The sequence below is a fragment of the Homo sapiens genome, chromosome 2 (genome assembly GCF_000001405.40).
Source record: "Homo sapiens chromosome 2, GRCh38.p14 Primary Assembly".
NCBI lineage: Eukaryota > Metazoa > Chordata > Mammalia > Primates > Hominidae > Homo > Homo sapiens.
In genome coordinates this window covers 233,947,892-233,972,604 of record NC_000002.12, presented here as the reverse complement: position 1 = coordinate 233,972,604, position 24,713 = coordinate 233,947,892, and the positions used below count along the sequence as shown (strand labels likewise).

At 44.8% G+C, this 24,713-nt stretch overlaps 1 protein-coding gene across 16 annotated transcripts in view; it reads right to left on the bottom strand.

Moving 5' to 3' along the window:
* Positions 1-24,713, bottom strand: part of TRPM8 (transient receptor potential cation channel subfamily M member 8) — a 102,150-nt gene that overhangs the window by 46,918 nt on the left and 30,519 nt on the right. For 13 of the 16 annotated variants that reach the window (NM_024080.5, XM_011511810.3, NM_001397608.1 and 10 more), the window contains 9 exons: positions 22,459-22,656; positions 18,586-18,688; positions 17,355-17,473; positions 11,539-11,829; positions 9,228-9,323; positions 7,848-7,977; positions 5,850-5,995; positions 2,798-2,910; positions 2,179-2,395 (listed from right to left, as the gene is read on the bottom strand). In NM_024080.5, coding sequence (NP_076985.4) covers positions 2,179-2,395; positions 2,798-2,910; positions 5,850-5,995; positions 7,848-7,977; positions 9,228-9,323; positions 11,539-11,829; positions 17,355-17,473; positions 18,586-18,688; positions 22,459-22,656 — 1,413 coding nt within the window. Of the gene's footprint in view, positions 1-2,178; positions 2,396-2,797; positions 2,911-5,849; positions 5,996-7,847; positions 7,978-9,227; positions 9,324-11,538; positions 11,830-17,354; positions 17,474-18,585; positions 18,689-18,785; positions 18,853-22,458; positions 22,657-24,713 lie in introns of those variants that run through there. The other 3 variants (NM_001397614.1, XM_024453133.2, NM_001397619.1) reach the window with 1 other exon arrangement.

Below are 24,713 nucleotides of genomic sequence, written 5' to 3'. Positions count from 1 at the left end.
CTCGGGACCTGCAGCCCACCATGCCTGAGCCTCCCACCCCCTCAGTGGGCTCCTGTGCTGCCCGAGCCTCCTCCACGAGCGCCACCCCCTGCTCCATGGCGCCCAGTCCCATCGACCACCCAAGGGCTGAGGAGTGCGGGCGCACAGCGCAGGACTGGCAGGCAGCTCCACCTGCAGCCGCGGTGCGGGATCCACTGGGTGAAGCCAGCTGGGCTCCTGAGTCTGGTGGGGACGTGGAGAAACTTTATGTCTAGCCCAAGGATTGTAAATACACCAATCGTCACTCTGTATCTAGCTCAAGGTTTGTAAACACACCAATCAGCACCCTGTGTCTAGCTCAGGGTTTGTGAATGCACCAGTCGACACTCTGTATCTAGCTGCTCTGGTGGGGCCTTGGAAAACCTTTATGTCTAGCTCAGGGATTGTAAATACACCAATCGTCACTCTGTATCTAGCTCAAGGTTTGTAAACACACCAATCAGCACCCTGTGTCTAGCTCAGGGTTTGTGAATGCACCAATCAACACTCTGTATCTAGCTACTCTGGTGGGGCCTTGGAGAACCTTTGTGTGGACACTCTGTATCTAGTTAATCTAGTGGGGACCTGGAGAACCTTGGTGTCTAGCTCAGGGATTGTAAACGCACCAATCAGCGCCCTGTCAAAACAGACCACTCAGCTCTACCAATCAGCAGGATGTGGGTGGGGCCAGATAAGAGAATAAAAGCAGGCTGCGCGAGCCAGCAGTGGCAACCTGCTGGGGTCCCCTTCCACAGTGTGGAAGCTTTGTTCTTTCGCTCTATGCAATAAATCTTGCTACTGCTCATTCTGGGTCCACACTGCTTTTATGAGCTGTAACACTCACCGCAAAGGTCTGCAGCTTCACTCCTGAGCCAGCGAGACCACGAACCCACCAGAAGGAAGAAACTCCGAACACATCCGAACATCAGAAGGAACAAACTCCAGACGCACCACCTTAAGAGCTGTAACACTCACCGCAAGGGTCCGCGGCTTCATTCTTGAAGTTAGTGAGACCAAGAACCCACCAATTCCAGACACACTTCCTCCACCTCCATCCCAGCTCCATTCCCCATCTGCACCTCAGACCTACTAGGCAAGGAAAGTCAGACACAGGGCACTGGTGTCAGGACTCTTCCCCCAGGTCATACCCATGGCAGACATCACTAATCGATCAAAATGCTCTCCCGCTGAGAACAGACAGACCCTTGGAATCTTTCTCAACCCAGGACGGCTAGAAGTCACTAAAAAAAGTCTGTCAGAGTTGGCATGAAACTTTAAGCCAACTTAGGATTCTTACACGAGTCAGTGACTCTGTAAGGGCAAGAACAGCACTCTTTGCCCCCTCCAGATCTATCATAGCACACGGCATTGTACCTCGGAAACTGTAAGTGCCTAGCACACACTTGCTGAATTGATGTATTTTTGCATTTAGGTTCAGAGGGGACAACAGTGACGACAACAACAGTAGTTGTCAAACAATTTGTAAACTGCTAAGTGTGAAAAGATTTTCTGGGATGACTTTTCATAATGGTTTAGGGATAACACCACTTTCACCATCAATATTTATTTTTTCAACCATTACTAATCAAGTGCCTGCTACACATGAGTCCTGAGCTAGACTTCTGGGTTCAACGGTAGAGAGACGACGCCAAAAAATGAAGGTCCCAAGAAACTGCAGAAAAGCACCATGAATAATTCACACCAGCTCCCTGAGACCCACAGGGACTTACACAACTTTAAAACATTGTCAATCTGACATGCTGGGCATTAAGATGCTCTTAGCTCAAAAGTCCTGCCAGCTCCCTGCCACTTATCATGCCACGGTAATGGCAGGAACACAAACCACTCCTGATGACAGCAGTGGGTTTATCATCCAGGGTCTCTCTTCTCTTTGAACACTCCCCCATTCCTGACTAATTCATCTCCATCAATTAACATTCATTAGAGAGCAAAGAATAAACTTGGTACTAGGAGACCTTACTGAATTACTAAGGGTATGAAAATGCACCTTCACACTCATGGACTAGCACCCAAAGAGAACATTTATTTTGGGAAAATAGTGACTTTTGAACTTCAGAAGCAACTTCTATTCCTCTTGGCTTTAGAAAGATGCCTCCCACCGAGGAAGCGAGGGGGTTCCTGCTGTCATGGCAGCCCTACCTGTCTCACTTCATCACAGAAGAGGACAAAGACCAGCGAGTACAGGACCAGCTCGGGGGGGTGTGGCACCGAATGGAAATCCATGAGCAGCACGTAGGCAAACAGCAGGAGGAAGGCGATGTAGAAGACCACATTCCAGGAGAAGACCACGAAGGGGGAGGTGAAGAACGCCACATAGTACCAAAGCAGCTTCTTGTGCTTGTCGACAGGTTTCTTCCTGGACCCAGAGATAAGGGCATCGTCAGCATCCTTGCAAGCATGGGACGGGCACAGCCCTCCCCTCCTTCCAAACATAGATAAATACAGACCCATAGCCAGGAGGAAGAGACGGGAGCAAAACCGTGTCCTAAGATGGAACCAACCCCAATTAAATCCTTGGCATTTTGCAATTAACAAATCCACATTCTGCCCCAGATATTAAAGACACAACCCCACCCCTACCCATTTAAGAGGAAACCCAGGAAAAGTCAGGGGAGAAACAAGACCAAATTCATAGGCAACAATGTAAACATCATAAGTTCCAGGCTTTTTAATCATTTACATGAGAGCACACATATGTGGATGCATGTACACACACTGGCACACACACTCACACACGATTATGTGCCTTGGTTTGTACCTAAATGATACAAAGCCACAGCCCACCAAGGGTATAATAAACAGACACAGGATAATCTTCCAGTTCTTGGTGTCTCGGGAAATCTCTCCATACCATTGCTTAGAAAGAAAATTCTACAGGGAAACAAAGACAGAGAACAAGGTCCTTATTAACACAATTGTATGCAGGATGCCATGCAAACTTTCTTCCCCGCCCCACACTTTCCCCAAAATACACAGCTCTTTGAATTAATGTCATTATTCTTTTATACCAGTTGCCTGGATTCTAAGGGGCAGTGTTAAAAAAAACAATTTAAAACTTGGTTTTTTGTTTTTTTTCTTGAGACGGAGTTTCACGCTTGCTGCCCAGGCTGGAGTGCAATGGTGCAATCTCAGCTCACCACAACCTCCACCTCCCAGGTTCAAGCGATTCTCCTGCCTCAGCCTCCCGAGTAGCTGGGATTACAGGAATGTGCCACCATTCCTGTCTAATTTTTTTTTTTTTTGTATTTTTGGTAGTGACGGGATTTCTCCATGTTGGTCAGGCTGGTCACAAACTCCCGACCTCAGGTGATCCACCGCCTCGGCCTCCCAAAGTGCTGGGATTACAGGTGTGAGCCACCATGCCTGGCCAAACTTGGTTTTATTTTAAGTCTTTTTCTGAGTTGCATTATGTGCACTTTAAAGTAATAGTTGTGTACGTTCAAATTCAATAAACCTAGGAATTTTTATCCAACTCTCATTTTTATTAGGTAAGTTTAAACAAGTATCTTTCTGGCTCCTTTGTCTTCAATGATCACAAATTCACAGGCACAGCCAGTACTACCTGTAGGGTCCCCAACGATTCATTTCTGGAGAAAGACAGGTGATGCTTTTGTCAGGAAACTAAAAGGAAGTTCGGAAGGGAGAGACTGTTGATGTCTTGACATCAATTCAGGCTGAAATGCATGTAAAAGCTCTCCCCAGACTGTATCAACCCTTGACGTTGGGACAGAAGGGACTTTCACAAAGGTGGAAATTAGAAAACTCACAGTAGCTCTGAGAGTTAGCAGGGGAGCATAGACTCGACCACATCAAAGGACCCACATCTCTCAAAAAATAGCCCGTCAAGCAGAAGGAGTTTGGTGTGTCTCAGGAACAGAGGAAAAGGGAAACCCAGGGCCTTCTCAGTGCTAGCTAGGAGGGCTGGGACTGACATGCACCCCTCTGGCCCTGGGCACCTGCCCTGCCCTTGGAGGAGGATGGCTGCTTCTGAGGGCCCCTGCCTAGGGCTACTCCAGCCAGGTGCGTGCTTGACCCATGAGGACTAGTGTCCTGGAATAAGGTGTCAGCTTTCCACAAACAACCAATTGCAGTTGGTGGGTAAATGGCCGACTGCTTTGCACTGGGCCGGGCAACACTGAAGCTGGTTCTACAGTTTCCCAGAGGTCCCTGGCAGGCTGAGCCCCGGGTGCCCACAGTGGCAACCTCCTCATCAGCACATCTTGTCTGTCCCTGTCCCTTCCCTGTCTCACTGGTGCCTCCTGTGCTTCCCAGGTTCACCTCCAGAATAAACTCCTTGTATTGACATCCTCACTTTGGGGTTTGCTTCTTGGGAGGGGGTGCGGGGGTGGCGGGCAACGGAGACAGGCAGTGCTTAGTCTTCCTCACTCTCCTATTCTGCTGGGGTGATGCAGACGCCAGGCCATCACTGAGCATCACCGTCAGGCCCCAGTCACGGAAATTACAGCACTGGGTTGGGTTCCATGGTCACTGGCAGCATTCTGACCCCACACAGCACCCTGACTATAGAAAGAAAACTCCCTGGCCAGGCCCACTGGGTGATCCTGTGGCCTGGTAGTAAGATTTTCAGTGAAATGAATGACCTGGCATCTGATTGAAACCTCAGGATCTGTGAACCTGGACAGGAGTAAAAGCCAGACTCCCCAGGGCCCCAAGTTCTGGGACACAAGCGAGATAGGGTTTGGGGCCCAGGAAGACATAAGTAGAGTGTGACCCACCTGGGAAGCCACCCCAGCCTCCCAGGCACACCCCGACTCCAGCACCAGCCTTACTTCTACCCACTACACTGCAGCAGAGGCTAAAACTGAGCAATAGCAAGACGCTCTCCGCATGCTCCTTGTCATGGATCAATGCTCTCATTTAGTCTAGCTTAGTTGCAGTAGTAAATGGGTTTTGTTCGTAAACATCTGGCTGTATGATATCATGGAAAGTCTAGGACATGAAAGTTGCAGGCAATCAACATGAGAGCCAATCCTAGTGCTGCTACTTCACAGCAGTGCAAGCTGGAAGGACATTCCAGAACCTCTCTGAGCTCCTGCATCCTCCTCAGTGAAATGGGATGGCACCCATCCCCACAGGTGCTGTGAAGATGAAATGTGGCCTAGTGTATAGCAGCTGTGGCTGACAAGCGTTGGTCTCTCCATCTCTTCCTTTTCCCCTCCCCTTCTCACACCCACATTTCTACAACTGGAACTGTGGGTGAAAAGCTCTGCTCTGCAGCCTAAGACACCAGGTGCAAACTACGATTCATTCACTTCAGTGCAGAAAGCCTCTAGACAGCTTTTACCCATTTCACAATAGTTTCCCTACTGCTATCACTACTAATAATAACTGCAATAGCAATAGCTAAATAAAGGACCAACACCTTTCACATATTATCTCCTTAAATCTTCACAATAACCCTTTATCTGCTGCTATCCCCATTTTGTAGATGAGGAAACTAATACTCGGAGAGCTCATGTAACTTGGCCCATCATCACACACTTCATTAGGGGTACAGCGGATGGAGACCCAGGCAGTGGGATCCAGAGACACAGCTCATAATTATGATGCTGTGTTGTTTGCTTAGTGGAAACTCAAAGAATATTCTTTGTCCTGCACCATCTCTTAAAGCATGGATTTCGACCAATGCCTATACTTGGCCATCTCCCACATCATCACCAAACCACTCCTTCTATGGCTTTTATATTGGAGAATAAGGTTTGTTTTTACTATTGTTTAATGCTGCTAGTAGCATCTGACATAAAAGCCCCATTTCTGGCCGTGTGGTCTGGTGGCTGAGTATGGTTTACCTGGACCCCAGGCTGGGCGATGAAATGCTGGTCTGTGGCCTCCACCGCCAGCTCCAGACAGTTGCTTCCACCCCAAGCTTCACAGGAATAGACCAGCAGCTGTTCTGCCAAGTCTTCATCGCTGCTGTAACACTCAGTGAACAGCTCTACAGCGACATCAGCACAGAGAGAAGCTGGTGTAAGAGCTGCACATGACCGAAACTGTCCTGCTTCCACCCCCAGCCAACCCCTGAATCCAAAAATAGCCTGTGCGTGAGTCCATTCTTACAAAAGGCATAGAAAATGCCATCACAACACAATTTGTTACTGAATAGCAGAATTTTCTGAAGGCAAGACAAACCCAGCAGAGCTCCTGATGGCAGCAGGTGACAATAACTGCTCACTGGATTGAGCTGCATTGGACAGAGGGAGCCCCTCTCTTTGATGGGCTTCCATCTGGGCTCAGGCAGAAGAGCCTCAGCCACTGAGAAGGGATCTAACCTTCTGCACCTCCCCACCGCCGCCCCCCGACCCCCCCGTAATCAGAGCAGCCCTTCCTCCATCTCATTTGAACTCTACGCCTTCTTGGCAAGGTTGTTTGGCAGATAAGGCACAGAGGAAAAAAAAGGTTGGGCGCAGTGGCTCACACCTGTAATCCCAGCACTTTGGGAGGCCGAGGAGTGTGGATCACCTGAGGTCAGGAGTTCGAGACTAGTCTGCCCAACATGGCAAAACCCCGTCTCTACTAAAAATACAAAGAATTAGCCGGGTGTGGTGGCATGCGCCTGTAATCCCAGCTACTCAGGAGGCTGAAGCAGGAGAATCGCTTGAACCCAGGAGGCGGAGCTTGCAGTGAGCTGAGATCACACCATTGTTCTCCGGCCTGGGCAACAAGAGCGAAACTCCACCTCAAAAAAAAAAAAAAAAGAAACACTGATCTATTGCATTAGTGTGTGCTTACATTTCATCACCTAATGACAAAGAAATTGCAGTGTAGATCCTCAGGGAAATTTTTTTACAGTAAAACTATTAGGAGCCATTGCCTAATTATCCAGAAATAAACTGCTTTGAAATTTTAATAAATTAAAAGAAATAATTAGACATCTTTTTTCCAACATGGACAAGCTAAACTCATGAGCATGTTTACATTTGATAAGACACTAGACAAACCTGGATGCAAATACCTCGTTGCAAACTTAAAACTCAAGTGAAAATGGAAAAAACTGAGCAGGCCTGAAATTCTCATTTAAAATGCTGTTTAGAGGTAATCGGTTCTGGATTTCTCACCTTCCTGAATGATCGAGGCCTCTGTGCAAAGGGCACTGGCAAGCTTTGTTCGAGGACTGAATAGCAAACAGCAGTCAGGCGTCCTGAGACATGCCAGGAGAGCAATGCTTAGTGCAGTATCGTCCACTCCAGGCAATAAGTAATCTCAGCTGCAGCCCTGATAGAAGCTCAGCATGTCCTAACTTCAGGGAGCTGCAGGGCAACTGTTATTCGAGTTACCCCTTGGGAACCGAGGCAAGGGGAAGCATCCCAGATGCTACTCAGGCTGCTGCTTTTGCCATGAGTAAGAAACCATGAGTGTCGCAGGCCCAGGGGCTGGGTCCTCTGGCAGTGTGTGCATATGAAACTGGCAGGCTAACTGGTTAGGGCACAAGTCAGGTAAAATCTCAGCCCTGTCACAATGTTGTAACGGCATCCAGAAACACCCCCCCCCCCCACAAAAAAAAGTAGTCCAGTGCTCCCTGAGTTGCTTAGAACTGGGCCTGGGTATGGCCCTGGGTGGCCATGGGATCAGAGAGCCCAAGATTTCCCACATTCATTCTTGGAAAATTCCATATGTGCCAGGACCAAGGAGATTGTCGCATCCAGACCTTGTGGTCTGCAGCCCTCAATCAGACTGGGGAGCTTGGACATGCCACGGACCTCCACCATCTGGTCTATGAGTGCCGCTGGCAATGTCTGTGCCACATGGCAGATCCGCGCCCACCACAGCATTCCACACTGTGGACTCACCAACAGCCCGGGTCTCGTACTCATTAGCCAGCTCCTCGGACTCCCCAGCAGCATTGATGTCGTTCTTCACTTTGGCCAGAGTCTTCAGAAGCTTGCTGGCTCCCAGGGCTGCCAGAGTGCAGCCCCTGGTCTTTTTAGGGGGGTGAAGAATTTTAAGGTTAATTCTTTTTTTTCCTTTTCTTTTTTTTTTTTTTTTTTTTTTTTTTGAGACGGAGTCTCACTCTGTGACCCAGGCTGGAGTGCTGTGGCACGATCTTGGCTCACTGCAACCTCCACCTCCCGGGTTCAAGTGATTCTACTGCCTCAGCCTCCCGAGTAGTTGGGATTATAGGCACCCACCACCATGCCCAGCTAATTTTTGTATTTTTAGTAGAGACGGGGTTTCGCCATGTTGGTCAGGCTGGTCTTGAACTCCTGACCTCAGGTGATCCACCAGCCTCAGCCTCCCAAAGTGCTGGGATTACAGGTGTGAGCCACCAAGCCCAGCCTAAGGTTAAGTCTTAATCCCTTGAAGTGGTCAAGTCAACATTAATGTCCAACAAGAACATTCATGGCAAAAGCAGGAAATAGTAGAATCAATTTTATGGGACGGGTTAGAGAATATGGTCAACACGTGCAAATGGAAACTGCTCTGGGGTCAGGGAGCCCGAAGCTCAACCTAGGAACTATTCATAATGATTCAAAGTAAAATTTTTAATGAACACAAAATAACTTGGAACCTGAATATGTTCACAGTCTTGAACATAGAATTACCATATAAAAAATATTAAGACTAATGCCATGAGAAATGACAGTAAGACCGTGATAGTGGGAGGTCTAATTCACTCTCATACTGGAATAGCTCAAAGGTTGAGTGGGGCCTGGGTAAGAACACAGAAGACCTGAACAATGTAACTTTAAGACTGAGTGTGTGAATTCAATATTCAATATCTAAGCTTATCTCTCAAAATAAAGTAATGTGAGTGTCCATAAACCATTTACAAAAGTCCTTACATGCTAAATCACAAGGAAAATTCTCCATAAACTTTCCAAAGCGGAATTTTTTACAGGCCCTACCTCCCGTCCATAATGCGATAAAGCTGGAAATTAATTTTTAAAATCAAATGTGAATACCTTTTCCACTTGGAAAACAATCACACACCCACACACACCTGAGAAGCAGGTGCCTACTGGACTGCCCCCCAAGCCTGACTACTTTCCGGGGACGGTCCCTCCCAAGCACTCCTTCACCAACATGGAACAGAGACCATGTTCATCTGAACTCAGACATCCCATTTCACTGATGATGTTTTATATTAGGCATGCGAATTTTGAGAGGATCAGAACTGTTATAACAAAGCATATATTTGGTGTAAATCTGATGTGGGCTTGGGCACTTACCTGCTCCCAAATGACTTTGGAGAGTTCCTTCTTATTCTGAAGAATGGCCCAGATGAAGAGAGCTTGCAGGGGGTGCCGAGTAATAGGAGACACGTCCTGGGGGGTTAGAGCATGTGGTCAGCATGTGCAAATGGAAACTGTTCTGGGATCAGGAAGCCCTAGGAGAGTAGCCCATGTTTGGAGGGCTCTGTGGCTTTGTGCATGACTCCATTCTCACAGTACAGTGATGGGATTTTCATCTCTGCAACTCATTGGGTGGTCTAATTTTGACACCAAATCTTTCATCTGTCATAAAAGACAAAGTACAACTAGATGAAAAGGTATAAAGGGTGAAAAAAGCCTTGAGAGCAATTTGAAAACTGAATGACTCCTGACAGGCTGACAGAAGGCAATTCCTTCTCATCATATAACTCTGTTTCTCTTCTAGAAAAAAATTCTTCAAACTAGATTCCAACTTTCCTATGGCTTAAGTTCAATTATCCCAACATAAAACTGTGGCTTATTTCTTTGGACTGTTATTCAAAGATTCGATGCCTAACCTATCAATTAGAATCCCAGCTCCTATTCACCATTCTGTACCTTTCAAGGGAAACTTTTCAGGTAGAAAACAACTAAATGGATATATATAATATATTCCTTTTCAACTTCTTTACAGGTTTTACCAATGTATAAAATGCACGAGGCATATTATGCATATTGCAGAGAAATTTCACATGAATATAGTCGAACAGAGGCTCCCTAAACACTTCCAATTCCTGCAAATACCTAATGCATTTAGATTTTTGCAACACACATACACGCACTCTAAAAATTCCATAATTACAAAGGATAATGACCTAGTTTGGGTTTCCCCAGAAGAAATCTGAGACAAGGATTTGAGGCAAGTCGTTTATTTTGGACACGATCTCAAGGAAACCAATGGAGAACTGAGGAAATGATACCAGAACAAAAGGGAACCCCATAAAAAGTGCATTATCAAGTCAATTCTCTTGGTGGATAACTAGAGATTAGCCCCACTAGCCAACTCTAGGAGCCAGAGTAGAGCACAAACCTTAAAGTCAGCTCCTTCAAGTGGGGGTATTTGTACGCTACTGGGCTCTGATCAGGACAAACTTTCGGCAAAGAGTTACAGGTGCTGGCAATTGGAAACTGGGCCTTCCTATACTTAAAATGAGAAGTTCTGCAGGATTATAGGTGTTACAGCCACAAAATTGTCTCAAGTGAATATCCAGATTTATCCCTTTGAAAATATCCACTTCCCCTTTTACTCACAAAAGAACACGTGTCCATTCTTCAGTCCTTCACACGCATGGGCAGCAGGCAGCTGTTTTAAGCAGATCATAGCTGGTGGACTATGACAGGAGCATGCAGCTATTTGTTTGCCCCTATTCCCTGTTAGATACCTTCAGAAAGTATACCACACTAAGCTCTGCAATTAAGAAAACCTGAGGCCGGACACGGTGGTTCACGCCTGTAATCCCAACACTTGGGAGGCCGAGGCAGGCAAATCACCTGAGGTCAGGAGTTCGAGACCAGCCTGGCCAACATGGTGAAACCCCGTGTCTACTAAAAATACAAAAATTAGCCAGGTATGGTGGCTGACGCCTGTAATCCCAGCTACTCGGGAAGCTGAGGCAGAAGAATCGCTTGAATCTGGGAAGTGGAGGTTGCAGTGAGCTCAGATCAGGCCACTGCACTCCAGCCTTGGCAACAGAGTGGGACTCTGTCTCAAAAAAAAAAAAAAAAAGAAAAGAAAAGAAAAGAAGAAAAAAGAGGCCGGGCACGGTGGCTTATGCCTGTAATCCCAGCACTTTGGGAGGCCGAGGTGGACAGATCACGCGGAGAGGAGTTTGAGACCAGCCTGGCCAACATGGTGAAACCCCATATCTACTAAAAATACAAAAATTAGCCACACGTGGTGGCAGGTGCCTGTAGTCCCAGCTACTCAGGAGACTGAGGCAGAAGAATTGCTTGAACCCAGGAGGCAGAGATTGCAATGAGCTGAGATTCGGCCACTGCACTCTAGCCTTGGTGACAGAGCGAGACTCCATCTCAAAAACAAAAAAAGGAAAACTGCAACTAGTCTGAAATATGGTATCATATAGATCATAAAGCAAGATATTAGAAATAGCAGAGACTCACCCTATAGACAGACACCTTATCTTAAATAAAGGGAGTTAAAAAAATTAACATTGTCAGTGTGTTAAGTATTTTATGGCAATAAGATAGGGAGTAGGGAAAATGGAGATATCTTATGAGGGAAGCCTCAAAATATCCGAGAACTCAAGCAGGCAACTCTCCCAGTACCTACGTGGAGTTCTATGTCCATCTCGTCCCGGCCATTTCTGTCTTCCTTCCGGAAGCCTCTTCGGAAGTTCGCAACCAGTTTCCAGACAAACGTGAGGAGGGCATCATTATAGGAATTCTTGGCGATCTGCAGATTCCGGTACACAAGCGTGCTGAAGTGGTTGGAGAAGAGTTCAGTGAGGACATCATGGGTGAGAAACTTCCGTAGGTTCAAGCCATTCTCCAGAAAGAGGCGGACAAACTTGGGTCTGTCCTTTATGAGAGCCGTAAACATGACTTCTTGAAGGTCAGCAGACTAAGGAGAAAGAACAGAGACAGTACTAACAATACTATAAAAATATGGTAAGGAAAGCACTAGGCATTTTTCTTCCTCAGTAGCACTGTATTTCCAGCCACAGAGTAATAATATCTTCAACTTCTCTTTCAATCCTGTCTTGAGAATGAAGTTTATCTTTTTTCCGTTTTAACACAACAGAGGATTACAGTTCAAACCTCTAAACAGGAGAATGGCATGGTGAAATCTTTGTCATCAGCCAGATGTGAATTTGGATGTGACTTGGCCCCTTGCTAAAATGGAGATAAATACACCCATGTAGAGATAATGTTGGTCAAAAATTTTCCCCAGTATGAGACATAGAGGAAATACTCAATCGGGGGTGGGGGTGTGGAGGTAGTAGTAGAGCTGGAACCACCTCTTTGAAGTTGACAGCAGATACCAATTATGACCCAGCCACCAGTGCTGTCTCTACGCTGCACTGTGGGATCTGCTGCCCTTCACAGATGCCCAGGAACCTTCTATTATGGTGACTGCATTCTCAAATACAGGTGTTAAAATAGAATGCATCAAACTATATGCAAACCACATGCCACCAAACCAATGTCTGCTCTTGTTACATACCAATAAGTCACTGGAACATTTGACAATAATACTTGATTGTTGTCTATCTCTAGCTCTACATTCTGGGCTTCTGATAAAACTTAGCCCATAGGAACTTACGGATAATCTTAAGAAAGATCACCAGCATTTTGGGAGGCCAAGATGGGAAAATCACTTGAGGTCAGGAGTTTGAGACCAGCCTGGCCAATAGGGTGAAACCCCATCTCTACTAAAAAAAAAAAAAAAAAATTAGGTGTGGTGGCACGCACCTGCAGTCCCAGCTACTTGGGAGGCTGAGGCACGAGAATCACTTGAACCCAGGAGGCAGAAGTTGCAGTGAGCCAAGATCACACCACTGCACTCCAGCCTGGGTGACAGAGCAAGACTCCATCTCAAGAAAAGATCATCGATGTTTACTTCAGACACAACCCAGTGGACTACAGGCCACTCCAGCTCTCAGTCATGTTCTGTGTGCCCTCTATAGCATTTCTTACAATTTTATTCCATTGCCAACATTTAAAAATTAGAAAGTTCATCAAAATCTACATTTCCAGCATTAAAATCTCGAGTTAACAGTAAAAGCTGCCAGGCACAGTGGCTCACACCTGTAATCCCAGCACTTTGGGAGGCCGAGGTGGGCAGATCAATTGAGGTCAGGAGTTTGAGATCAGCCTGGCCAACATGGTGAAACCTCATCTCTACATCTCTACTAAAAATAAAAAAGTTAGCCAGGTGTGGTGGCAGGTGCCTCTAATCCCAGAATCGCTTGAACCTGGGAGGCAGAGGTTGCAGTGAGCCAAGATTGCACCTCTGCACTCCAGCTTGGGTGACAGAGTGAGACTCCATCTCAAAAAAAAAAAAAAAAAAAGGCTGGGCGAGGTGGCTCACACCTGTAATCCCAGCACTTTGGGAGGCTGAAGCGGGTGGATCACCTGAGGTCAGGAGTTCGAGACCAGCCTCGTCAACATGGTAAAACCTCGTCTCTACTAATAACACAAAAATTAGCTGGGCGTGGTGGCGCACGCCTGTAATCCCAGCTACTCCGGAGGCTGAGGCAGGAGAATCGCTTGAACCTGGGAGGCGGAGGTTGCAGTGAGCTGAGATCATGCCATTGCACTCCAGCCTGGACGACAAGAGCAAAACTCTGTCTCCCGCCCCCGCCCCCCAAGAAAAGAGTAAAAACCAGCAGCTCCAACAACATCAACATGGGAACCATCAGTGGGAGCCAAGGGGCAGCTGCTTCCCGGAGCCTTGGCTCTCCAACTCCCCACAGTCCCCACCACTCCTCCCTGGGACCCACCGGCCCACTTACTCTCTTACATTGTGTGCCTGATCCCTGGTCTAGGTGGATGTCTTCTGCCCACAGCAGCATTAATTAGTTTTGTTCCTGCCTAATGTTGGTCTCATGGGGATCACACATTGCCTAGAGAAGGAGTTGTCAAGGGTCCCTTGAGTCCCCACATTGTGGATGCAGCAGAGCTCAGCAGGGGAAGAGGGGGCTACCTCTGGAAAGATGGCAGCTATGATTTCTCCTCTGTCCTTAAAGGAAGTGTTCCTCATGTCCAGCATTTCCCTTTTCTTTCTAAATCCAATGGCCTTTCCACTGGTCACACACTTGCTAGCATAGGGCAGTGGTTCTCAAACTTTAATCAGAATCATGTAGAGGGCCTGGTAAATGCAGAATGCTGGGAGTCAGTATTGGAATTTCTGCAAATCTGAGGTGGAGCCTGGTGATTTCCAAGGTAACAAGTGCCAAGGTTATTCCCAGGCCGCCACCAGTCCAGGACCCACACCTTGAGAACCACCAGCATATGAGAAGAGGCTTTGCCGTCAGTCACATCTTTGCTCTCAACCTTGATTCTACCATTTTCCAGCCATGTGACCTGGATTATTGTGTCTCTGAGCCTCGGTTTGCTCTTCTAAGAAATAGATGGTTGCGAGGATGAAATAAGCTAACACAGGTCAAATTCCTCTCAGAGATTCAAGTTCAGACCAGGCCCTCAAAAAACTATCAGCAACTCCCCCTGCCATGATACCGATGGAGCCCTGATTTAATAACCACAAAGGGGATCATCCATGTTGTGGACTGGTATGACAGGCAAGTAAACACACACAGAGAAACTGCTTGGGCACTGTAAAAGGTCACAGAAATATTATCAGCATTCCAGATATTTTTATTTTTAAACAAATAATGCTTCATATGTGCCAATGTTCTAAGCACTTTAGAAATATTATCTGATTTAATCATCATAACAGCCCAAGGAGATAAGTACTGCTATTATCGTCATCTCCATTTTCGGATGATCAGTTGGGTAACGGTAAACACTGAACCATTGGTTCTCTCAAAGAAAACAGAAGTCCTAATTTGTAGTGTTTGCTGATTCCTATGGTGTAAATACTCCCATTGTCGCCAAGTTTCAGCTACCAATGTGACATCACTAAATATGGAATCGGGAAGAGATGTGGAGTGGCTCACCATTGTATAGCATCTCCAGCTTCCAGATACAATATACACAATTGGCCTTCAGAGCAAAGGTAGTAGTAAATGTAGACAAATAATTAAAAAATGATATCTTTTGATTATTGATTACCTTTGTAATTCTATATTCTATATTCTATAAAATCTATGTAATTCTAAGTTTGAATAATTTAATTTTTTTGTTTTTTTGTTTTTTGGGTTTTTTTTGTGTGTGTTTGTTTGTTTTGAGACAAGATCTGGCTTTGTTGTCCAGGCTGGAGTGCAGTGGTGTGATCTCAGCTCATTGCAACCTCCACCTCCTGGGCTCAAGCCATCCTCCCACCTCAGCCACCTAAGTAGCCTGGACTACGGGTATGTGCCACCATGCCCAGCTAATTTTTTTTTTGGGGGGGGCAGAGGTGGGGTTTTGCCATGTTGTCCAGACTGATCTCAAACTCTTGGACTCAAGCAATCCTCTCGCCTTGGCCTCTCAAAGTGCTGGGATTACAGACATGAGCCTCTATGACCAGCCAAATATAACTGATTAATAATGACTGTATTTAACAACCAACTCAGAAAATCTCTAAAAATTTAGCAGTTGGCTCTTGCAAGCCAATACAAGCTGGCTCTAACATGCCACTGGAGGAGGAAACTGAGGCATAGGGAGGTTAAGTAATTTGCCCAAAGTCATGCAGATGGGCTGGCTCCAGAGTCCATTTCCTTAGCCATTGTGCCCTTAACCCTTAACCATCTTTAGCTGAGTTAGTAAAATTAAATGTACCATTCACGATGTGCCTAAGTTTATTTGTACCATCTGACCTCACTTAAATAGAACATTTCACACACAGTAATTCATTTATGAATCAATTGACTGGACCTACTTATAGTTCCACTTTCCCTCCACTAATTAAAGCCTTGCAATGTGCAGCGGGGTTCATTGTGCTGCAAACACCACACACAAGATAATGTTTGCTAAGGGAATGAATAATTTAAAAATTCATAAGCCATTACTTTATTTATGCTGCTCTCATTAAAACTGATCGCATGTTAATATAAATCGAGTCTTAGTCTTTGATTATACAACAATAGGCCTGAAAGTGTTTTCTGACCCTGTCTGCCAAGAATGAAAGTTATGAAATATATGCACCTTCAAATCTATACATACATGTATAAAATTACATATATTATCACGGCCCCCTAATGACTGAAATTAACTTGGAAAAGCTGAAAACAAAGAAGCAGCCTTATAAAACTGAGTGTGATGGTTTATAATAATTTTCATTGAACAAGGCTCCTAGGGCTGACTGCACTTTAGTTGTACACGGGAGGATACTGCTGGAAAATGCAATCCTAAAACACTAATCACATTGAAAAGTGAGAAAATGCAGTTTGCTAGAAAGAAAAAAAACACTTTTTATTGCATGTGCAACTTCCATATTGAAGGTACTCATGTGGCTAGGGGAAGTCCTGAGTTTCTGGCTCTAAAACAGCAGTCACCAATCTTTTTGGCACAAGGGGCTGGTTTCCTGGAAGAGAATTTTACCATCGACCAGGCTGGGGGGATGGTCTTGGGATGATTCAAGAGCATTCCATTTATTGTGCACTTTATTTCTATTATTATTACATTGTAATATATAATTAGATAATTATACTACTCTCCATAATGTAGAACCAGTGGGAACCCCAAGCTTGTTTTCCTGCAACTGGACAGTCTCATCTGGGGGTGATGGGTGGCAGTGTCAGATCATCAGGCATTAGGTTCTCATAAGGAGCACACAACCTAGATCCCTCACATGCACAGTCCACAACAGGGTTCACGCTCCTATAGGAATCGAATACCGCCACTGATCGGACTGAAGGCGGAGCTCAGGCGGTAATGTGAGCAATGGGGAGCTGGTGTAAATACAGATGAAGTTTCACTTGCTCGCCCACTGCTCACTTCCTGTTGTTCCTAACAGGCCATGGACCGGCACCCCTGCTCTAAGACGTTCACTGGGGAGCGTCAGTCAAGTTGTTCTATTTGTCTCTTATGTATCTCACTACGGACGGTTCTCTAATCAGAATTTGGCTAGGCAGGTGGGGGCAGGGAGCAAAAAGAGTGCTGCCGTCTGGATTTATAGTTGAGCTACTTTCAATCATCTAGCATATATTTTTCCCATACTTCTGCCCACACACATCCAGAAGGAGATCTGCATCTCTACACCCAGATGGAGAATCACCCTCACTTTGCAGCTGAAGGCAATGTGGAGTTGATGTTATTTTATACCATTTATTTTTATTATCTCTTCACAACAAACCTACTAAGTCAATGTTATGATTCCATGCTGCAAACAAGGAAATTAAGCCTCAGCAATCCTGATATTCTGGAACAGAACAATCCTTTAAGAGATTTGGTATTGAAGACCTTGTTGGAAATGGATCAGACATTGCCCAGACCACTGTCCAGACCCAACACTGGAATAACCCAGGAGAGCTTCGTGCTTACCTCCCATCGGCGGTCATTGGTGAAAATCTCATCATTGGCTAAGTCCAGCTGGTTCCACTCCAGCAGAAGCTTCAGCTGCCCATTCCAGTTATCCTTGTCTTGCTCACTGGTGCTGAAGGCTGTGAGAGGGCAGGAAAAGACTCAACTCACCAAAGGCTCAGAAATAAGAGTGAGAACCATTCAGTGTGGCCAATTATCAGAGCTGTTTATCACAGGTAATGCTGATCATGTTCTCTTACATTCAGACACTCAAACTGTCATTCACTCTATCTTCACTCATTCTTAACCACATTCTGTATGTCCCAAAGTTTATAATGGGGATCAACTCAGGCTACAGTAATGTTTTTCCATTGCATATCCTAGCAGTGTAATAATGGTATAGTAAAGGTTTTTTCCATAGATTCAGATTCCATAGTATTATATTTCAAGGCCATATCTGACTTATGCTACATCTAAATCTACGAAACAATAAGCCACCTTACAACAATGTCATTCTTGTCTTTTCCAGAGCTAATATTTTATGCATCTATGTATCTGTGCAGATATAATTCCATTTTAATAAATACCTTTATAACCAAATGTCTGGCAAGTACAATAAGAATGATTCTAATAAATTGCTGATGCTTTAAATGCACTTCCAACGTGCCTGGCTCTACTCTAGCTAATTTATATTTATCAGTCACACAATTCAAGTCTAGACAACCAAGGATCTATTTACTATGGGTAACATCCACTTTACGGAATTCTAAAGCAGCAAAGATCATGAATGAGAATTTTTTAACCTGAGGTTCATTCATAAGCCTCAGGAAATTTGTAAACCCCTGAAATTAAATGCAAAGTTACTTAGGTGTGAAGTATGTGTGCATATGTGTACAAATATGTAGAATGCTAGGACAAAGATCCATAGTTTTGCCATATTCTCAAAGGAATCTGAGGCCCAATAAAAAAATTATTTTCAACCACTGTTAGAAATAGCTCTTTGGAGACTACTGCGATTTTGTTTGACCAGTATTTTAATGACATAAAAATTATTATTCTATCAAATACATACAACCAAGGAGATTCACCTCACCAGGACAAGCGTAGTTATTCTAGCTTCCAATCTAGGATCATCAAAATTAAGTACAAGCTTGCCTTTCAATAAAGCTGTTTTATAAAAGAAATGTAAGTCATGAAAAGCCACAGAAGGCAACACAAAGCTGACACTTCAAAAGGAGCTATTTTTACTCACCTTTGTATAGAGCGTAGGAGATGGCATTGCTCACAATTTCATCCCCAGCTTCTTCCATTTTAATAACTGTTAATAGGTGAGAACATTCGAGAATTTCTTTGAGCTGGCGAAATTAAAGAACAAAGTGTCAGCCAACAGATTTTAGGCATGAGGAGCATAAACTTCTTTCTTTTTGTGAGAGATCTTTTTAAAAAGACCACCTGTAGTGGAGTTCCGGATCAGCTTCTCATTTCTGAATTGCAATGAGTCCTTGACTACAGTGAGAATAAAGTATTGGTTATACACGTATCAAAAAGCCCCTATCAAAAAGCTGAGAGCCTCATTTGACTAGAGATGTGTGCATCTGCGTGCAGGTGCTGTGTGTGTGTGTGTGTGTCACAAAGCCTGGCACATGGCAGATGCTCAGTTATTAAATGACCAAGTAAATAAAGAAGGGACAATAGAAGACTGTAGACACCATCCAAGTGTGCCCATAAAGATTTAAACAATAGGAAATAAAAGCTCAAATGCAAACAAGAAAGAAGGCTTGGAAACTGGAGAAACAGATAAAGAATTTTCTATATTGTCCTTTGTTATTTTTCTGTAATGTTTAATTTTAAGACGTTTTAAAAAGTAAATAACCCTGTAATTTCAAGGTTACAAGCACTGGCGAGCCCAGCTGGAGCTTGGTGAGAAGGGCCCCTTCTAGCCAAGGGAGCAAGTCTGGTTTCCATTAGACTGAGTTTGAGGCAATGATGGGTTTCCCTGGCAACGTTTGGAAATAAGGATCTGGAACTGCAGAGGCTCCGCTGGGTGGGAGACGAAGTCTCAGGGTCTGGCTGTTTGAAGGTGGCAAAAAGAGCCCTTGGATTTGGAAATTAGAAGGTGAGCTTTTGAGGCTGCAGCTGCCTGGGAAAGGTGGTGATGGAGGTCTTAGTTCAAAGCACCCAGGTAGGTGATGAGGAAATGAATGAAAACTGCAGGCAAAGACAAAACATGGAGATTTTGAAGGAGAGGGTGGGTGGGGATGATAGCATGAAGGAAAGGCTCTCTTCATCTGTCTGCAGCCTTTGTTCAGACTGAAGAATAGGGGTCCAGCTAGAACTGACAGGCGGGGAGGAGGGGTGAAGGTCCCAAAATTCTACGGCACAAGTGAAGGTGGGCAGTACCAAGGGGTTATTTTTATTTTCCTTTGAAATAAAAAGGAAGAAGAAGGAAATGAATATGGATAGCAAGTAAACCGATGGACCCCAGAGACGGCCACAGGAGTCCCTCCTAGCTGGGACTCCATCCTGCATACTCCTGCCTCCTCCATCCTCTGCCCCACTGCTGCCAGAGTGAGCTGTCCTGAACACAACTTCCATCTCGTTTTTTCCCTGCTTGAAACCTTTTAATGATATCCCATTACACTTGAACAAGACCAAACGGGGCTCAGGGAGCCTCCTGGGCTGGTCCCTCACAAGTTCTTGAGCTCCCACTCACCATTCCCACCCTCACGGCTGTCTTTCACTCCTCAGGCGTGCCTCCCACCTCAGGACCTTTGCACATGCTGTTCCCACCACCACCACAACCCCAGCCCCCACCTCGTTAACTCTCTCCATCCTTCAGATCTTGGCTCCCACATCACTTCCTCCGGGAAGCCTTCCAGAAAGCCCCACACCAGGCCAGGCTCCCTCGGCACCTGCCTTTTTGTATCCATGTTACCTTTCTTCCAAACACCCATTTCGACTTGCAATTACACAATGCACTGTACTGTCATCACTCAACCTAAACCTTTTTTCAAATTCTGTTTTGTCTAAGAGGACACAGACTGTTTCTGTCGTGTACGCAATTCTTTCTGAAGTGCCTATTTCAGAACCCGGCACGCAGTATGTGCTCAACAAATATCTACTGAATAAATTAATAAATGAGAGTTAAAGATGAATACACGAATGATATCTAGATTGGTTGATAGACTGGAAGACTATGGAGAGTCAAGTTCTCGAGAAGTTGAGGAATAGGCATGGGGGAATAACCATGACGGCTTTTAGGAGAGGAAGGTGTGAGCCCAGTGGGAGAGGTATAATGCATCGCTTAGAGTGGTCAAGAAACTGGGAGTCCAGGTTTTGGGGCTGCTTGTCCACATAGTCAGCGAGGTCACCCAGGACTGCCCTGGAAGGTTGTCTAATTAATATTTGCCTGAATGTATACATTCATTAATTAATAATCCCACTCTTGAGCTTGGTCTTTTGGGAAATCTGTACCAACTGCAAAACCCTGTATGAGTGCCTAATTAAAATTCCAGACTAATTTTTATTATTGATGCATGTTTTCTGATTGATGTGATTGTAATTATAATATATCATTAGCATATTCAGTATGAATATGAATTAGCTATGAATTGCAGAAAGGATAATATAATCAAAGAAGGTAGAATGTGCCTTTTAGCCTATTTCAGATGAGTTGCCTGTAACAGTTTTCATGAAGCAGAAATCAAAATCCCTTATAAAGGGTGTGGTAGCCCTTCAGATGGCCTCTATTCGTTGGACATGGCCTGGTCAAGACCTGGCAAGCCAACTTGTACAAGGAGTAAGAGGAAGGTCACTGAAGTGGACCTGGGGCCATCTTTGGTGAATAAATTAAGAGTCATCCGTTTCTTCCTCTATGGGGATCCCTGAACTGACCACTGAATTTATTCCATCCATCACAGGAAATGACGTTGAGAGTGGCAGTCAATATGCAATCAATATGCAGTGTCTTACTTTGATATGTATACGTTGGAAAAGGCCTGCTTATATGCTTTTTTTGATTGTTTGTTTTTGTTTTTTTGCTGAGATGGGATCTTACTATGTCACCCAAACTAGAGTGCAATGGCTCCATCGCAGCTCACTACAGCCTCAAACTCCCTAGCTCAAATGATTCTCCCACCTCAACCTACCAAGTAGCTGGTACTAGTGCTATAGTCATATGTCAGCATGCCTGGGTAATTTTTGTTTGTTTGTTTGTTTGTTTGTTTGTTTGTTTGTAGGGACGGGGTCTCACTACATTGTCCAGGCAGGTCTTGAACTCCTGGCCTCAAGCGATCTTCTTGCCTTGGCCTCCCAAAGGGTTGGGATTACAGACATGAGTCATTGCACCCAGCCCTGTTTATATGTTCAGAACTGACTCGAAGTAGTTAGGTATGAATGTTTAGAGAATCAAAAATGTATAAGCACTTTGGAAAGGGAGTGCTGCTTTTCCCAACCAACAGAATTCCATGGGGAGGAGCCTCATCAGAATTAGGCACCTGGTCAATCTCCACTCTTTCACTTAGCCCTACTCAGGGTTGGGGAGCAATATTGGCCTTGCCCAGCCAGCCCTCTCCTTCTCCTCTCACTGGGCTTTGCACCTTGCAAAGCACTAGTGCCCTGGTCTGCAGCTGCCACGTCTAGCCCAGCAGGGAGGTCAGCAGGTGTCCGGCGCTGCCTGTGTCAGGGTGGGCTTATCTGTTTTATTCTGAGACTTAGCATATGCAGTCGCAATGTTCTGCACCTCAAGCCACCTCTTTCAACTTTGCCTTCATCATCAGTAAGGCTGATATGTTTATCTCTTTTTGTCAGATTCTTGTGTCTCTCTCTCTCCTGGACTTGAATAAGATATTACAACATCCCAGTAAGAACATTGATATAAAACCATCAGTTTTCCCTTTTTTAGTAAACTCTGAAAAATGCAATATCTCAAGTACAAATATCACACTTGGTGAGTCACGTATCTTACTGAACTTCAGTTTCCAGCAAGACACCTGTTGAGCCTCAAAGGCACGGAGAAAATACCAAACACGTGCAGCTGCTGGTGGAGTTGGGCGTTTAAGGCATTCTCCCTTCTCACCAACTTGTCTTATTTTCTCAGCCCTCAGACATGGTCCCGACAACTTACCCATTTGATCCAACTCTCAGTCTCCTCCTCAGGCAGCCGGGACACCGTGCGGGGTAAAAAGCGCACCAGCTTCTCCTTGACGGCAGAAGATGTCAGGGCATCCTCCACCTCCACCAGGCTAGCGATCACATCAGCGATCTGGCCCGAGCCTTCCACCACCACACAAGGAATTTTATTTTTGATGGAGGTATTGATGGCCTGGAGGAAGGAGACAGAGTCAGACAGATCAGAGACCTTGGTCCACAGAACCCAGCTCTGGACTAAGGTTCTGAGCCAAGCTGGAGGAAACACACGGACACATCCCTACACGTTTTCCTTTGGGGCTTTTATTTTAAATCAGAAGCAAATCAAATATTGTCAATTGCTTTATGAATGAGAAATGTAATCTGCTTTATGAAATCTTGTCCCCACAACAAATTCCATAATAAGAACACATTATGACTAGCTTAAGTTTTCTATAGATAAGTGCTTTAAAATATCCCTGTACACAAAATTGATCATTCCAAGTACTGACATAATAGATTTGAGTGACATGTATTAAGACTGTATTCAGCATTATTGTTGATAGCTTATCTGAAACAGGTTAGTAGTAACCAATACTCATACTTTTGAGGTGTGAAAATAACTTTAAAACAGCAGCCACATGTTTTATGTGATGTTTACTCACATATTTCCCTCCTCAAATAATTTCCCCTGCTCCTGTTATTAAAAAAGAATAAAAATATATTTTCTTCCTGGATAAACACCTAGCACACTTTTATGACCTTTGTAACAACTGCAGAGGACAGCAGAGGGGGATCATATTTTAAGGATTTTAATCACTGGACAGCAAGATATAGTGATCTACCTGGAGGTACAAAAAAAATTGAAAAGCACTTGTTTTTAGGTCTGAGTGCTTTCCTTAGAGAAGACATCACCCAGGAAGCCAGATGTGTGGTGCCATGATTGAAGCCCACAGAGGGTGAGAGTCACAGAGCAGGCCGGGATCCCTCTGTGTGCCTCAAGTGTCTGCACCACAGGTGGTCGTGGGTGTGTCGATGGGGAGTTAAACCAGGAAGGGATGCAGAGGCACCAACTGGGTATTTTCTTTTCTTTTTCTTTCTTTGTTTTTTTGAGACAAAGTCTTGCTCTGTCTCCCAGGCTGGAGTGCAATGGCGCAATCTCGGCTCACTGCAACCTCCAGCTTCTGGGTTCAAGCGATTCTCCTGCCTTAGCCTCCTGAATAGTTGGGATTACAGGCACCTGCCACTGCGCCCAGCTAATTTTTGTATTTTTTAGTAGAGACAGGGTTTTGCCATGTTGGCCAGGCTGGTCTCGAACTCCTGACCTCAGGTGATCCACCCTCCTTGGCCTCCCAAAGTGCAGGGATTGCAGGCGTGAGCCACTGTGCCCGGCCCTGGCTGGGTATTTTCTCCTAGTTCACCTCACCTCTCCTACCCCCACTACTGTGGGTTGTTAATTGGCTGAGCAGACGGCAGTGGAAAATGCCATAGAAATGCAGTTCCCTAGACCAGCAGCAGCTCTCCAGTCTCCCCCTACCCCCTAGGCCAAGAAATCTTCATTCCAAATCTAATATTTGATCTGGTAAGATAATAAATGTAACCATATTTCAATGACTTTTTCTCCACCCCTCTTCCTCTTTGATGTGGCTGCTTTTGCAGATTTGAGCCATTTATGCTGGAGCTTGCAATTTTTTGAATTTTTGGCGATCACCTTGGTGATGACCTTGAGCAGTAGGATATAAATAACTCCCACATGCTTAGTGTTCCAATAATGGAACACTAGGCATAAAAAGGTTTTAATACACTGACAATCACACACTGAAAAAAAATCTCTATTTTAATGTTTCCCTGAATATTTTTATTTAACCATGATCTCAATTGTAAATTTCATAGCGGGTACTCAATAAATATCTGTTGAATGGATGAAGAAAACAGCCATTGTTACATAAAAGAATAATGAGAAGTACTAGATGATGATTCCAGATAACTTTGCCAGCACTTACTTTTAGCTCCAGGTATCTTTAATCTATTCCCTGTCTTAGAGGTAAAATAGGATGGGTAAAAGGAGGAATATGCAAATCATTGCGGAAATTCATGAAAAAGATGAGTTAAAAATGACTTTCTTGTAATGTGCTATTCCTAGAAAAATGAGCTCTTGAAAATTGTTTACAATACTTACTAAAATGTAGTCACACTAACTTTTTTTAAACTACCTATGGGGTACTATGCTTATTACCTGGGTGATAAAATAAT